This window comes from Homo sapiens, chromosome 12 (assembly GCF_000001405.40).
Source record: "Homo sapiens chromosome 12, GRCh38.p14 Primary Assembly".
NCBI classification, from domain to species: Eukaryota; Metazoa; Chordata; class Mammalia; order Primates; family Hominidae; genus Homo; species Homo sapiens.
The window spans coordinates 45,345,295-45,360,915 of record NC_000012.12 but is presented as its reverse complement, the minus strand read 5'-3'; the positions used below and the strand labels follow the sequence as shown (position 1 = coordinate 45,360,915).

Here is a 15,621-nt window from a genome sequence, read left to right as displayed (position 1 = left end):
GTCTATAAACAAACTCTTAAATTTTTGGCCAACTGCTTTTCAACAAGGGTGCCAAGATAATTAAACAGAGAACAGTCTTTTCAAAAACGGTGCTGGTATACCCGGATATGGAAAATGATAAAGCAGGACCCTATCTCATACCATTTACAAAAATTAACTCAAAATAAATCATAAACCTACATCCATAAAACTCTTAGAAGATAAATGTTAAAAAAAACTTTATGACTTTGGATTACGAATGGTTTCTAAGACATGACACCAAAAGCACAAATAACAGAATAAAAGGTAAACTGGAGATCATCAAAATTAAAAATAATTTTGTTTCAAAGGATGCTATTAGGAAAGTGAAAACACAATCCATAGAATGGGAGAAAATATTTTCAATGTATCTGCTATGGTTTGAATGTGTCTCTTCCAATTTAGGTATTGCCAGTGTGGTAATATTAAGAGGTGGAGACTTTAACAAGTGATTAGGCCATGAGGGCTCATCCTTCATGAATGGGATTAGGTGCCCTTATAAAAGGAGTTGATGAGGGGAGTTCTCCCCACTTGCCCTTATGCCTTCTGCTATGTGAAGATGCAGCATTCCTCTCCTTCAGAGGATGCAGCCCTCACCAGACACCAAATGTCGGCAACTTGATCTTGGAATTTCCAGCCTCTGTAACTATGAAAAGTAGATTTCTATTCTTTACAAATTACCTGGTCTGTGGTACTGTGTTACAGCAGCACAAACAGACTAAGACAATATCCAATAAGAGACTTCTATCCCAAATATATAAAAAATGCTTACAACTCAACAATAAAAAGACAACACAACTAAAATAGGCAAGGGATTTGAACAAATTTTTTTCCAAAGAAGCTATACAAATGACAAACACATGAGAAGATGCTCACCATCAGTAGACATTAGAGAAAACAAAGTCAAAACTGCAATGACATACCACTTCATACCAACTAGAATGGCAATTTTTTTTAAGTGCTGATGAGGATGTGAAGATATTATTGTCCTCATACATTGCAGGTGGAATATGCAGTCACTTTGGAAAATACTATGACAGTTCCTCAAAATGTTAAACCTACAGTTACTGTATATCCCAACAATTCCATTCTTTGTTATATTCTCAAGAGATGTGAAACCATGTGTCTGCACAAAAACTTGTCCATGAATGTTCATAGCAGAATTATTCATAATAACCAAAGAGTAGAAACAACCCAAATGTCCATCAATTAATGAATAAACAATGCGGTTTATACACACATGGAGTATTATTTGGCCACAAAAATGAATGAAGTACTGATACATGCTACAACATGGATGAACCTTGAAAACAGTAGGTGAAATGAAAGAAGACAGTCACAAAAGGCTTTATAATGTATAGTTCCACTTTTATGAAATGTCCAGAACAGGCAAATCCATAGAAACAGGAAGTAGACTGTTGGTTGCCAGGGGCCAAGGGAAAGAGGGATTAGGGAGTGAGTGCTAATGGGCACTGGTTTCTTTTGAGGGCAATAAAAATGTTCTAGAATTAGATGGTGGTGATCACAACTTGGTGAATGCACTTAAAACACCTGAATTGTTTACACATTTTTAATATTTTCAATTTTATTACATACTGAGTAGATTCACAAGAATAGAAAACATTTAAAATATTTAAATACTTTTATGAAATGTCCAGAATAGGTAAATCCCTAGAAACAGAAAGCAAATAGATTAGTGGTTGCCAGGGGCTAAGGGAAAGGGGTACACCTAAATTGTGCACTTTAAAAAAGGTCATTTTATGGTATATAAATAATGTCTCTATATAACTGTTATTTTTAAAAGGGGGCATAAGGACCGGGCACAGTGGCTCACGCCTGTAATCCCAGCACTTTGGGAGGCCGAGGCGGGCGGATCACCTGAGGTCAGGAGTTCGAGACCAGCCTGGCCAAGATGGTGAAACCCCATCTCTACTAAAAATACAAAAATTAGCCGGGTGTGGTGGCGCAGCCTGTAATCCCAGCTACTCAGGAGGCTGAGGCAGGAGACTCGCTTGGACCTGGGAAGCAGAAGTTGCAGTGAACTGAGATGGCGCCACTGCACGCCAGCCTGGGCGACACAGCAAGACTGCCCCCACCACCAAAAAAAAAAAAAAGGAGGGACATAAGCTTTAAACAGGTATTTGATAGAAACTATAAAAGTAACTGAAAATATTTATAATTTAGATATTTTAAAGATATCTCATAATTAAATAATTAAAGCCAAATAGTTTTGAGCACAGGCAGTATATCCCCAAGAACTTCCCTCTATTTTCTGCAAATTAATCTGTGTGAAATGCTAGGAAATATGTGGTGTAACTATCATGGTGATTTTGTAAAATAAGTTATAACAAGAACAACCCATGAGGACCTTATAAAAATGCAACTTCTGCACTTTGAAATGTATTTTTGATTTTTTTTTTTTAAACTAGAACAATGTACAAACCAACAGAGAAGCTGAAGACAAATTTAGAGAAAAGGTAACAACATTCAGCCTTTGGCCCAAAACTCTTTTTCAGTGAGGAGGGAAGAGTACTTCAAAAGCCATCTGCAGCTTTCAAGCTAAGAAGCCATAATGGGTACAACATGCTCAGAATCCTCTGTTAAATCGAAGCGTAATTATGTCTATCCATCAGGGCTGCCATGTAAGCAACCTAACTCAGGAGCAGGCTGACATGCTTCAGGCTTGAAAAATTTGGTTATCAGCTCATTGCTGGTGCCCAGAAATTTTTATCTGGCTGGCACACCTGGATAGCAGCCAGATATCAAGAGAAAATCCTGGTTCCGTGCTGCATCCCTGCTGGAAGTTGAGACCACCAAAAGCAGAGGTCTAATAATACCATTCAGAATAGTGATGGTGAAATTTAGAGTGCTCTGGCACCCACATATGTCCCTTTAGAGAGTGCAGCTGGTGTTTGAATTTCAACCTCAGTACAAACTAATTTTTCACTACATTTTTTTAAACATTGTATGAACTATTTTTTAATGTAAAAACCAAAACAACTATTGAGTTTTTAAACAAGCACTTTTTAGTAGTAAGAAATCATTTCTAAAAGTAAAACAAAATAAAACAAAAAACAAAACCCCTCACTAATTTTCCCAGTGGAACCCTGAAGAAATCAGAGCTGCTTTTGGCTCACATCTGCAGGGCTGAGTGTACATTCCTCTAGGGGCCAAAAGTTCAAGGGCAATCCTCCCGCCTCCAGTCCTCCTTTCTTTTTCAAACAAAATATTGTCTTAAAATATTGGAGTGTTTCCTAGGGGTAATATTCATGTCAGACACTGGGTTGGATTATCTAAGAAAAAAATTTTTCCATTTCACTCAGTTATTGTGCTCAGAACAAAAGGGATATATCATCCCAAGCAATGAATGTTCTGCAGTCAGTCTTGTCTTACCAAAACAGTTTAAGACCATGAAAATAATTTTATGTCTAATAAACTTTTCAGCATGGCAACAAGGAATAAACAGAGGTTACCTCCATGTACAGTTATCTTGATTAAGATATCCATAGAGAAAGCAAGCCACTCCTACAACTGCGGCCAGGAGAAGCATCTGAGTGTAATAGCCCAGCCAAGCAAAGTAGATTCCAATCTTCTCTCCATAGTATTTCCTGAAGAAAGACAGAAATTATTTTTAGAAGATGCAAATAATTACTCCGTAGCTTCATCCTAATATTAATTTCTGATTTTAAATAAAGGAGAGGCTTTAAGCTTAAATCTGACTCAATTCACCCTTAAAACATTCATTTTCACAGCAGACCCTGAATTCTACGATGAAACAAAAAGTATATTACACATTATGGAAGAACTGATCACTATTGCTGGTTTGCCTGGTGAAAGTACATTAAAATACAGCAAGGGAGAGAAAAATGCTGATTATGGAATAAATACAGAGTATTACTATCATTCTTTGTAAAGACCAGCACTATTTTACACATTCTCCAAAAGACTGTTCTTTATATGCATGAGACAAATGAACATGAACAATCTGCTCAGTTATTTGCTTTTACTTAACTAGGGAAGTTCCTTGGAGAAAATGTAACGTAAGTCACAAATACAGTTGAGCCTTAAACAACACAGGGTTGAACTGTACGGATCCACTTAAATGTGGATTTTTTTTCAATAAAAGATAAACCTAGTGTGCCTGCCTCTCCTGCCTCCCCTTCCACTTCCTCCACCTCTTTCCCCCATCACCCCTGAGACAGCAAGAATAACCCTACTCTTTTTCCTCCTCCTCAGCCTACTCAATGTGAAGACAAGGATGAAGACCTTTATGATGATCCATTTCCATTTGGTGAATGGTAAATATACTTTCTTATGATTTCTTAATAACATTCTTTTCTTTAGCTTAACTTTATTGTAAGAATATAGTATGTAATACATATAACATTCAAAATATTTGTTAATTGATTGTTCATGTTATTGGTAAGACTTCCAGTCAACAGCAGACCATTAAAAGTTTAAAGGGAGTCAAAATATATATGCAGGTTTTCGACTGTATGTGTGTGCGGGTGTCACTGCCCTACCCCTGTGTTGTTCAAGGGGCAACTGTAATAATAAGAAAAAAAACCACTAATTTGTAGTGGAATGTCTCTCTGACCAAAATTTTTGCAAAACTCATGTGAGAATGAAAGAGGGAAGGATGCATATGATTGAGGAATCCATCACCCTGTATTCCTTATAGCTAGCTCTTCTATTTTTTCCTAAGTTTTAAAAACTGGTTAATGGTATACTCTGGGGTAAAACTGAAGAGGCCACGTAGGCAAGATTAAAGAGGGCAGGCTGACCAAGAAGCAGTGCCAAAATTGTTCCTGAAAGGAAGGTCAAGTACAGTTAGGCAGAAAGAGAGTTTAGGAATGAAGAGATGGTTCAGGTGACTGCTGCTGTTGCTGATATTCCCCAAGAATGACTCATTTCTGCCTTCATCTTGATCTGTACGATAAGGAGATTTACTTAACTCTGAGGCCTACGTGAGACTTCAGGCTCAGTATGGAGCTGGGCTGAACTCCTTGGTCTTAGCCTCGTGGGGACTTAGCTCTGAGCAAAACCTGGAGTCCTGGGAGACTTCAGACAGGAACATCCCTGGGCTGGACAAGCACTCACAGGGAAGGTCTGAGACCAGTTCCATGGGTCACAGGCCTGGGTGTAGTTCACATCCACAGGGAAAAAAGGAAGAGCTGAGACAGACCTGAGGGTGGAATCGGGAGATGGGAGGAACACAGTGGGCTGATTTTCACGTGACCGGAGCTTTGCTCTCTGGCTCATGGAAGGCAGGCAAACGGCAGGTTCAGGATACAGCCCGGGAGAGAAGTCTGGCCATGGGTTTGAGACGCCTTGGCCTCTTTTTGGTTATGCTTTCTGTAATAAGTTTTCATCAGCCATCCATCCTGGAAATGCCATATTTAAATTGGAAAGAATCTTAGAAGTTGCCTGGTCCAAGCTCCCAATAATAAAAAAAATCCTGCTGTATTTAAAGAGCTGGTCAGGCAGTCTCTGCTTGGTTATTTACTGTGACAAGGAGTTCAATACTTTCTAAGGCATCCCTGTTACATTGTAGGCAAGGCCAGAAAGATTTTTCAAATCTCAAAAGGAAATCTGTCTCTTAGTTCTTGCTGAAAAGCTGGAAATAATGAGGATTCCTTCAAATGCAATATTTTCTGATCATTGTCCCTCTCTGCCAAACACCTCCCAACTCTTAAAATCAATTTAACAAAATTCAGCTTTGATTTTTTAAATCAAAGTTACAAGTATACAGTCATTAGTCTAATAGCTCTAGAAGGCTGGTTATAAAAAGGAGCAGTCCCCTACCCCCTCCCCTATTTCCTGCTGCCCAGAAGCAGTCACTTTAAACTTTTATAGTTGATGCTTAGAATATTTACTTCCCTATCTCTAAATAACATGCGAGAAGTGCTGTTTATTGATTTTTCAGTTTTATGCATCACCTATTGACTTTCTATTCTGGAAGATGTGGATTAAGCTCTCTTTCAACTCCTTGCCTCATCTAAACATCCACATCTCTATTCCTGCCATCCTGACATAGTTACATTATAGTTTTTGGTTAGATTAATATTCTTGCTTTACATTATTATGATTCTATAAACACTATTCACAGCTGAATCAAGTCACTGCTATAATTACTTTTTCCTCCCTGCTCAATATCTTGTTCTCCCTAGAGTTAATAATTGTCTTGATGGTTCATTGCTTAGTTTTCTGTGTACTTATCAGCAATTCAACCCCAGACTCTCCCCTAATGTGTAACTTTCTCAGTAGGCTCAAACACATGAGATTGTCTTTCAGTTTCAACTCCTTGAATAAATGCCCTCAGACCTCCTCCAACCTTGACTGATGACTCTCCAAGCCCCATCACAGAACTGTGTCACCTGGGATCTCTCTGTCCCTCTCTCTTGTGCTGGCATTTCCTGCATTTCCTGTTTACTAACTCTTAGGTCTTCCTTCTTGGTGGAGCACCTCCTCCATTACCTTGCACATCTAAACTGTGAAAATTCCTCATACTTAACAGTTTGAGCATACATAGAGTTACATATATATGGTCAAACTTTCCTTAGACATGTGAAGTTACTGCTGTCTTTCAGTGTGTAGTGTCATTGAGAAGCACAATGCTATTGAGTCTTGATCCTTTGTATGATTTTCTTTTCATTTTGCTTTCCAAAGGATAGCAGGATCTTTGCTTTGTCCCCAGCGTTCTGAGCTGCTGTGTTGGAGTGACTCAGTGGCTCTATTTTCATCCTCTAGGCTGGGTACTCAGCAGGCTCTTTCCACCTAGAGACTCATGATGTTCAGTTCTTCAGATACTTCTCTGGAAGTACTTCTCAGATTTCTTCCCTACATTTTTTCTCCCCTGGTTTCTCACAATCCTATTATTTATACATTGTACCGGCCTGGACTGATCTAATTTTTTATCTTTTCCCCCTTTTCTATCCCTTTATAAGTTTTGCTCTATGCTCTGCATAATTTCTTCAACTTCATTTTTCTAATGCGTTCTATTGGTGTTTTTCTGTCTAATCACATTTTCAGTTTCCAAGAGCTAGATTTTATTCTCACAACAATCCTTTTTTATAGGACCCTGCCCTTGTCTTGTGAATACCCTATTTTCTTTTATTACTCTGGAGGTAAAAACGGGAGTTTGGAGGGAAACTTTTCTTTTTTACCTGTGCAAAGTCTGGTTCCCCTAGGTTGCTGTTTCCAGTTTGGTTTGCTTTTTGGGAACAAAATGGAAAGAGCCCATTTTCCCTTCAGTAATCCCTGGGAACCATAGATGAGGTTTAATAGCCTGAATGCTCAAGGGGTTACTAGTGGGAAGCAATGAAGGGAAAGAACATGTGGACCAGGGACAGGGGATAGTAAATGCATTTCCTCTAGCAAAATATATTTAAAATAGTTGGGAAGTTTTCTTTACTAAAGCAAAAAAAATAAAAGAGCACATAAAAAATGATTAAGAACCCATCACTCTGTTATCAGATGCTATTGGTTTAACATAAAAGGAAATTAATAAAATGGAAACTTCACATGAATGTCAACCTCAAATATTTACATATGTACAAATATCTTTTAAAATCTTATTTTACAGGGTAAACAGAGTTAATGAAAGTGCCTCTTCATGACTGTAATCTCGGTGATAAAAATGAATGACAAGGGAATCCGAGTATGACCATATAAAATAATGAAATCTCTTATGAAATAATGAATCTAAGTAATGATCGTTGATAGCTGCTATCATAACAAAAGAGACAACTGAACATTATATACCTTCTGATATAAGTACTCAACTCCACGTATCACGTATTCTTGTATAAAATCTAACCTCAATCAGATTAAGCTTCTAGATGAGGATCCAATTACTACTTAGCTAATGCAACTACACAAATTACTTAGTTATAGCAAATACAGAGGAACATGTTCAACAACACCACAGGAGAGAATGAAATCAGCAAAATAGGGAATGAAAGGCATTCTTTCAACAAGAGCAAGGAAAACAAGAAATAAACAGTGAAACTGAGACCAGAAGAAATTTGAGAGATTGTATTAACTGCAACCTCTTGACCATGTTTGGATCCTGCTTTGAACTAAAAAACCATTAAGTTTTTTTGGGGACAATAAGGGAAATCTGAATCCTGATTATCTGATGATATTAAATAATTTTTTTTTTTTTTTTGGAGACAGGGTCTTACTCTGTTGCCCTAGAGTGCAGTGGCACAATCATAGCTCACTGCAGCCTCAAACTCCTGGACTCGAGCAATTCTCCCTTCTCAGTCTCCTGAGTAGCTGGGACTACAGGTGTGAGAGCCATCGTGCCTGGCTTTTTTTTTTTTTTTTTTTTTTAAGACTGGATCTCACTATGCTGCTCAGTCTGGCCTTGAACTCCTGGCCTCAAGCGATCATCCTGCCTTGGCTTCCTAAAGTGCTGGGATTAGAGGAATGAGTCATCTCACCCAGCCTTCCTTTTCAAAAGGGGGTATTCTGGTTATGTTTAAGAGACACCTTATTTAGAAATAGAAGCTAATGAAACGACGTGACATTTGGAATTTGCTTCAAAATGATCCAGTGGAGTGGGGAGGGAAAGAAGTGGGAGTAAAAGTGAAACAAGATTAGCTATGAGTTTATAATTTTTGGAGCTGGGTGACAGATGAATGCAGGCTTGCTATGATACTCTATTTCTGTATATATTTAAAATTTCCCACGGTAAATGTAAAACAAAACAAACATTCATTTGTTTAAAACTCTCACTTTTAAGGTCTAGTAGTTTTCTCAAGTAGGTGGCAAGTGCATGGGGTGTTGAGACACCATAAAAAAACAGGTACGTGGCTCCAGACAGACATGAAGTTAACTCTCCTCTCCTCGTCACTCTCCACATCCAATCCATAAACAAGTCCTGTCGACCCGACTCCCCAAACACATCCCAAATCTGCTCCCACAGTCTTCTGCCTGGCTCAAACAGCCTCCTACCTAGTGGTCTCCCTGCTCCCTGTACCCCTTATAATCCATTCTCCACATTATCTGCAAAACGTGAATAGGATACAATGACTTAAACATTTAAAATATTACAACTGCTTCTCACTGCAATTAAAGTCTAAACTCTTTTCGGCGCTCCTGCCACCCCTCTAACTTCATGTCTTGCTCTGTTTCTCACTAGCACTGGTCTCTGATGTTTCCTCAAACTTGCCAAATGTGTGTGCATCTCAGGGCCACTGTACAAGCTGCCCCTATTCCTAGAAGGACTTCTGCCAAGTCCTCAAAGCACTGGCTCCTCTTCACTATCCGATCTCAGCTTAAAAGTCACCTCCTCAAAGATAACTCCCTCAACTCACTTCCCACTCTGCCCTCCCATCCTATTGCTCTGTTATTTTCTTCACTTCCATTAGAAATTCTGTTTATTTATTTTCATGTTTTATTGGCTTGTTTGGGTGTTCTTGGTCTATCTCCCACAAGCCAGAATCCTCAGCCCTGCCCAAACAACGTAAGCTTCTGGAGGAAAACCAACAGGGTACCTTGGGAAGAAAAACTCTTGAGCTAGTCATTGTATCTTGTGAGATACAACGAAATAGAACCTAGAGGCAGACATAAGAAAAGAGTGAAAATGTACATGTCTTACCATACAATAGAAACTACATCTAACATTTACTTCTGTGCAATATGGAATTTGGTGGGTCTGCATCCCAGTTCCTGGGCGGTGGGTAACCTCTAAACCCTTGGAACTTCCTGAGAGATAGGAGTGCCTTTTTATTCACAGTGGGACCCTAGGACTACGCCTGATAGTTTATGCCAGTGAAGTGGCTCATGGTGGACCTCTAGAGAGTTTGTGCTAATGAGATGACTCAGGGTGGAGGCTGGCCATGCCAGAAGATCAACCATGTGATTGGAGAACTGGAGCTTTGAGCCACATATTACTGGCCATCTTCCAGGGGGAGGATGATACTGGAGATGGGTAATGATTCAATTAATCATGCCCACATAATTAAGCCTCAATAAAAACCCTGGCCAACGAAGCTCAGCACTCTGGGTCAGCTCCCTTCACTGGCAAGAGTCTTGATGAGTACTGTCACATTCAGATGCTGTGGGGGTAACACCCTGAGTGCCTCCCCCTGGAGTACTCCCTACAACCCCTCACCTGATAAGATCCAAGGGCTGCTTTTTGTATATGCTTCGAGGATGAGCCCATTCTCTGTACAGAAGGTACCGTTCATTAGGGCAGCTGGGATCCTCTGACTGACGGCGGAATTTGCACTGTGACGCAGAAGGGAACATGTAAGCACCATAATCATCGTGTTTTCACAAATCTGCTTCTTAAATGTGATACAAATACTTGATAGTCAATTGTGAACAAGGGGTCCTCACCTTCTGGAAAGGGTGGAAATACCATCTAATTTTTAGTGATTCTTAACCAGGCATGGTACTACCCTCCTTGGGGGTCATTTATGAATGTGGGCAGGGATGAACGATTGGGTGTTACAATCCTGGGGAGCACTGCAGGGACTCTGTGAGGGCCCCAGAGATGCTTAAAATGCTTTAAGTGGGGCAGTCCTACACAATGAAAAATTGGGCCACCCAAGTGCCCAAATCACCACACCAGAGGAACACGTGATAACCCACCCCTCTCCTTGGACAATGGGGAAACCAAGGCCTTGGCTGGTTAGCAGCAGGGTCAATTCTAAAACCTAGGCTTCTTTGCCCCCAGTTCAGCAGTTATTCTGTGATAACATACAGAAAACAAACAATAAAGCTGGGTATCATGTTACACACTTAGCTTATTCAAGAAACAAAACTTCCTGCTTAAATCCAGTTGCCTTTTTTTCTGACTCATTTTTCTTCTTCTGGCACTAGAACCAGATTACCACCCAGCCAAATCAGGGCACAGGCCCTGACCTTCACACACCTCCCTCTCAAATACCACATGGGACCATTTGTTAGCCTGAATACAGGACCACTGCAATTAGAAGAGGCTTTAGTGGAAAAGACATGGCCAAAAGCAAATGTCAACTGTTAGAGAACCCTGGCATCCCAAATTAATATTCGTGACAGCTATTTGCAAGTGGCCTCAAAATTCATGTCCTGTTATTCGCAATTAGCTAAATTCAGTGGGGCACAAAAGTAAAACACATGGACTCTCAGGCTGGATGGCTACATTGGGTCTCTTAGGATCAGTATTTACCTCACCCAGCTCCCTGTTCTCTACTTTTCCATGTGTATCAAGCTGCTGTTTAGTGTCCTAGTTTTATTATGTTATTCAGTACATTTCAATATCGTCTCTATCCACAAATACATGTACTACACAGTAGCAATTACCAATCTCAGTCTTTACTTTCTTTGGTCTTACACAGTCAGATAAATTGATAGTGAATATAACAAAGTAATAATGCAATATAATATAGTATTTAATTTATTTCAATGACAGAGTTTAAACAGCTTTAGTTATAATGTCCCTGCATTTACAGTGGTCACATTTTAAAAATTTCATTTCACGAGAGATGTTCTCGGCTAGAGAAGTACTCTTGAATTTGAGGGGTTGCTGTGGTCTCAGAATGTAGTCCTTAAAAAAATGTCAACCATCTGGGGTACTGCCATTGTCACAACAACCCTGACAGATGCCTTTTTAAAAGCCCAGGGATATTCCAGGGGACAGTTTGAAAATCGTATTCCAAATGAGGAAGAAAAGTCTATGTTGCAGAAAATGATAAATGAGAAGGTCTAACATGTATTTTGCTGACAAAGAACTAATCTTTTCTGGTTGATAATAACATCTGTTAGTAATTATGAAAACAGCTAACACTTATAATAGTATTTATTATATGCTAGGGACTAACATTTGGATTAATTTAATGGATTAATTTAATCCTCTTAACAACTCTAGGAGGTAGGTAATAATTTATCCCCAGCTTATTGATGAGGAAATGGAGGAAGAAAGGCTAAATGACTTTCACAAGGTCATCCAGCTAGAAAGTGGCAGGGCAGGCATTTTGGTCTCAGAAATGCTAACACAGATTAACTGCTAATCTATACTGCTTTACACATTAACTGTGAGAGAGGTCCTGTCCATTCATTCATTCGCTCCTTTAAAACTGAGTATCTTTATAACTGGGATCCATCTGTGAACAAAAGACCTAGTTCTTACCCTAAATGAGCTTGTAATCTTGCAGTATGTTCCCTTCATTTTACTGAGGAAGAAACTTACAGTCAGGAAAGTTAGCCCTTTGCTATTGTCAACACCAGAGTATACAGAAGGCCTTTTAGTTCATTTTTGCCTTTTAACTTACATCATGGAGTGGGAAAGCTGCCTTGTAGATCCCAGAGTTTACAAGTCTGTTGATCCCAAACTTGCTAACATTGTTTATCACTTGATACTTGACCCGAGAGAGGATGAAGTAAACCTAAAAAGATTCCAAAATAGAGTATGCGGTTTATATAGTGTAATTAACCAATCCAATCATTGTTTACTACTGTAACACAAATCTGCTGGCATATTTCTTTTCTTTTTGTGCAGTTTTTAAAAATAAAACCAAACCAACCAAACCACAAAACAGCAGGTTCCAAATTACCCCAAGACAGCAACTAAATTTGGTTTAGACTTACAATGCGGCTTCTGGTGGCTGGATTGAAGAAAGCATCTCTATCAACTATGTAAAAATCATTCATCCGGTTCTTCTCAAATGGGGCAGTGAAAAACTCTTGCTCTGGCTTGATGATGCTTTCGTCTACACTGAGGACTTTGGTAAACCAGTTGAGTGTACCAAAGGCTGAGGACCGGTTTTTCAGATCATTGGGTTTCAGAGGCAATTTGATGTGCATTATCTCAGCATACGTACATAACACCTCCCATGGTGCGTGTACTTTTACAAATACAAGCTTGTCATCCAATACCTATATTGGAAAAATAAAAACGCAGAACAAGAAACCAACTCTTTTCACAATTTTAAAACACATAGATTTTTCTTATGTTGTTGGTAGCTTTAAAAAAACAATACAGAGACCACCACTAAAAGTGAAGATAACAATAAAAACAGATTTGCAAACCATCATAAATTTTTGTCTTAAAGACGATTTCTTGGTTTGAATCATTAAGGAAGTAATTCAAATCATCATAGTTCATAAAACTATGAAAATAATTTATAAAATGAAGAAAACCAAACTTATTTGTCTATCACTCTACCCTAATTATTGACTTAAAGTAAAAACACTAGAATATTCATTGTAGTGCTAGCATAATGAAAAATTTTTAATTTTCTAAACCTCGAATGAACTTATTGTCTATCTGTTCAATATCATATTATGTGGCTGTTAAAAATGTCAAAGAATTATATTTATTGACATAAATCCATTTGCTATATATTAAAGGGAAAAAGCAAATTATAAAACTGTGAAGTGGTAATTTTCTCCTTTTTGAAAGATAAAAAATGTGTACATATATATTTTTGAGTAAAACAGCTCAGAAGGACTGCAAAATTATTTATGGATAATTAAGATACAGATTATTTTCCTTATTCTTATGTTTTCTAATTTTTTACCATAAACTATTTTTTGTATAACAAAAAAGCTTTTAGAAGTTTCTTAAAGAAAGAAAATAATCATTCATACATGCATTCATTGTAAAATTCGTTGGCTATTAAAAAAGATCTGCTAGTTTTGATCAGAAAAAAAGAATACATCCTACACAATGCAGATTTTGATTGACTCCTCTCCCAGTCTATGACTAAGATGTGGCCAGGGCTGCATGTTTCCAATGTCACCCAAGTATTCCAAGTGGCACGAAGCTGCCCGAGAACAGTGGTCAGCCGAGGGCTGAAAAGGGACCAGTACTTACTGATCTTGTTGCTTCTAACTGCAGGCCATGACAGATAAGGTTAGATTCGTATGCTTGTCTTTTCCTCTGTCAAAAGAAGTTGGAATATATGTTAGACCTTTAGTTTACCAAAGGCAGAAAAAGGCATTTTTTAAAACAATATTAATAACAAAATCAAACTAGCGTGGACCTGAAAAAGAAATGCATCAGCATTTGGTCAAGCAAATGGAATAGAAGAAATGAAGCAGCTCTTGCTGCTGGTGACATGTAAGTGTTGGATCCCCAAGAGAATGCCGTGGAGGGTACTTCGATGCCCTGGCACCCTGGAAGGCCCTTGGCTGTCCTGGTGTGGTTTCAGTCATCTGAGGTAAATAACAGTATCCTGCTTTGACACAATCCCACGTACTTTTTGGCTCATAAAAGCATACAAATTGAGCTTTCTGAGTCCTATTCACTGATACGAGTTTTCAGAGTTGAAGATTCCAGATTTTAAAAATTTGGTTTCCATACCAGACATTCAAATGGTTCAATTACTGGATGTGTATGCGTCATCCCTGCATATCTTGACCAAATTCAATAAAACAACACAGGCAATTTTGGCAAAATTCAGATAATTTTTTTCTCTCTGCAAGACTGAGATGTTTGTGAAGCTATGTCTAAATCCATAAAAATAGTGAACTAAATTGATATCTATATTACATGGCCATTTCAAAAGATACAGAATATACTACACTTATGGATATTAAATTCTAGATGCCTAGGCTTTTGCCAAGCTGTGCCCAAAGTTGTAAGGGAAGCATGCAAAGATGGAGACTTGTTTGACCTTTTAAAAAGAATGCTTTTCATGACAAAACAGTTTATACTGCTTTGTGAAATGAAGAAAATGAGTAGACACAGAGGTTAAGAACACAAGCTCTGCTATGGTTTAAATATGTCCCCCAAAAATCATGTTAGAAACTTAATCCCCAATGCAACAGTGTTGAGAGGTGGGGCCTACTGAAGGGTAATCAGGCCACAAGGGCAGACTTAACAAATTAATGACATTATCACAGGAGGGAGTTTATTAGCATGGAATGAGCTCCTTATAAAAGTTTGGCCCCCTTTTGTTTCTAACCCCCCCGCCCCATTTTTGTTTCTCCCTACCACCTCTCTCTCCCCCACCACCGTGGGGGTGACACTGCAACAAAGTCCTCACCAGATGCCAGCCCCCTTGATCTCAGACTTCCCAGCCTACAGAACTGTGAGCCAATCAATTTCTGTTCTTTATAAATTAGTCTGTGGAATTCTGTTACAGCAGCACAAAATGGACCAGAATGAGCTCTGTAACCACACTTCCTGGGTTCAAAATCTGATTTATTATTCATCAACTCTATGACCCATGACAAGAAAATTAAACTCTCCATGCCTCATTTTTCTTCATCTGTAGAACTAAGAAAACCCACTTGTTTCCTTTTTAGGGTCTTGTGAAGATATGATTTAAACTACATAAAGCACATGAAGTAGAATTTTCATTTCCAATAGTGACAAAAGGTAACTTGGGGCAAGCCTTACACTGAAGACAGCTGAAAACGCTGGGTGGAATATTTAGCACAGCAGTTAACAAGACAGAGAGGAACTGCTAGGTCCAGGTCGAGATCATCTAGTGGGTCTGGCAGTCAGACACTTTACCCAGGGAACAATACTCATGATCTGCCCACTCTAAAGGGACAGAGTGGGGATGAGTTGCTGTGCTATGCACAGGGCCTAGAACATAAAAAAAATCCCATAAACTAGAAGTAGGTGAAGCTGCAGGAAAAAGACCAAAGGTCAAAAAG

General features: G+C 38.8%; 1 protein-coding gene across 6 annotated transcripts in view; it reads right to left on the bottom strand.

The window, feature by feature from the left end:
- The window catches only part of ANO6 (anoctamin 6), a 224,310-nt gene that overhangs the window by 79,489 nt on the left and 129,200 nt on the right, over nucleotides 1–15,621 (bottom strand). For all 6 annotated transcript variants that reach the window (NM_001142679.2, NM_001204803.2, NM_001025356.3 and 3 more), the window contains 5 exons: nucleotides 13,829–13,894; nucleotides 12,601–12,888; nucleotides 12,285–12,398; nucleotides 10,142–10,257; nucleotides 3,492–3,626 (listed from right to left, as the gene is read on the bottom strand). In NM_001142679.2, the coding sequence (NP_001136151.1) occupies nucleotides 3,492–3,626; nucleotides 10,142–10,257; nucleotides 12,285–12,398; nucleotides 12,601–12,888; nucleotides 13,829–13,894 (719 nt within the window). The remainder of the gene's footprint in view (nucleotides 1–3,491; nucleotides 3,627–10,141; nucleotides 10,258–12,284; nucleotides 12,399–12,600; nucleotides 12,889–13,828; nucleotides 13,895–15,621) is intronic.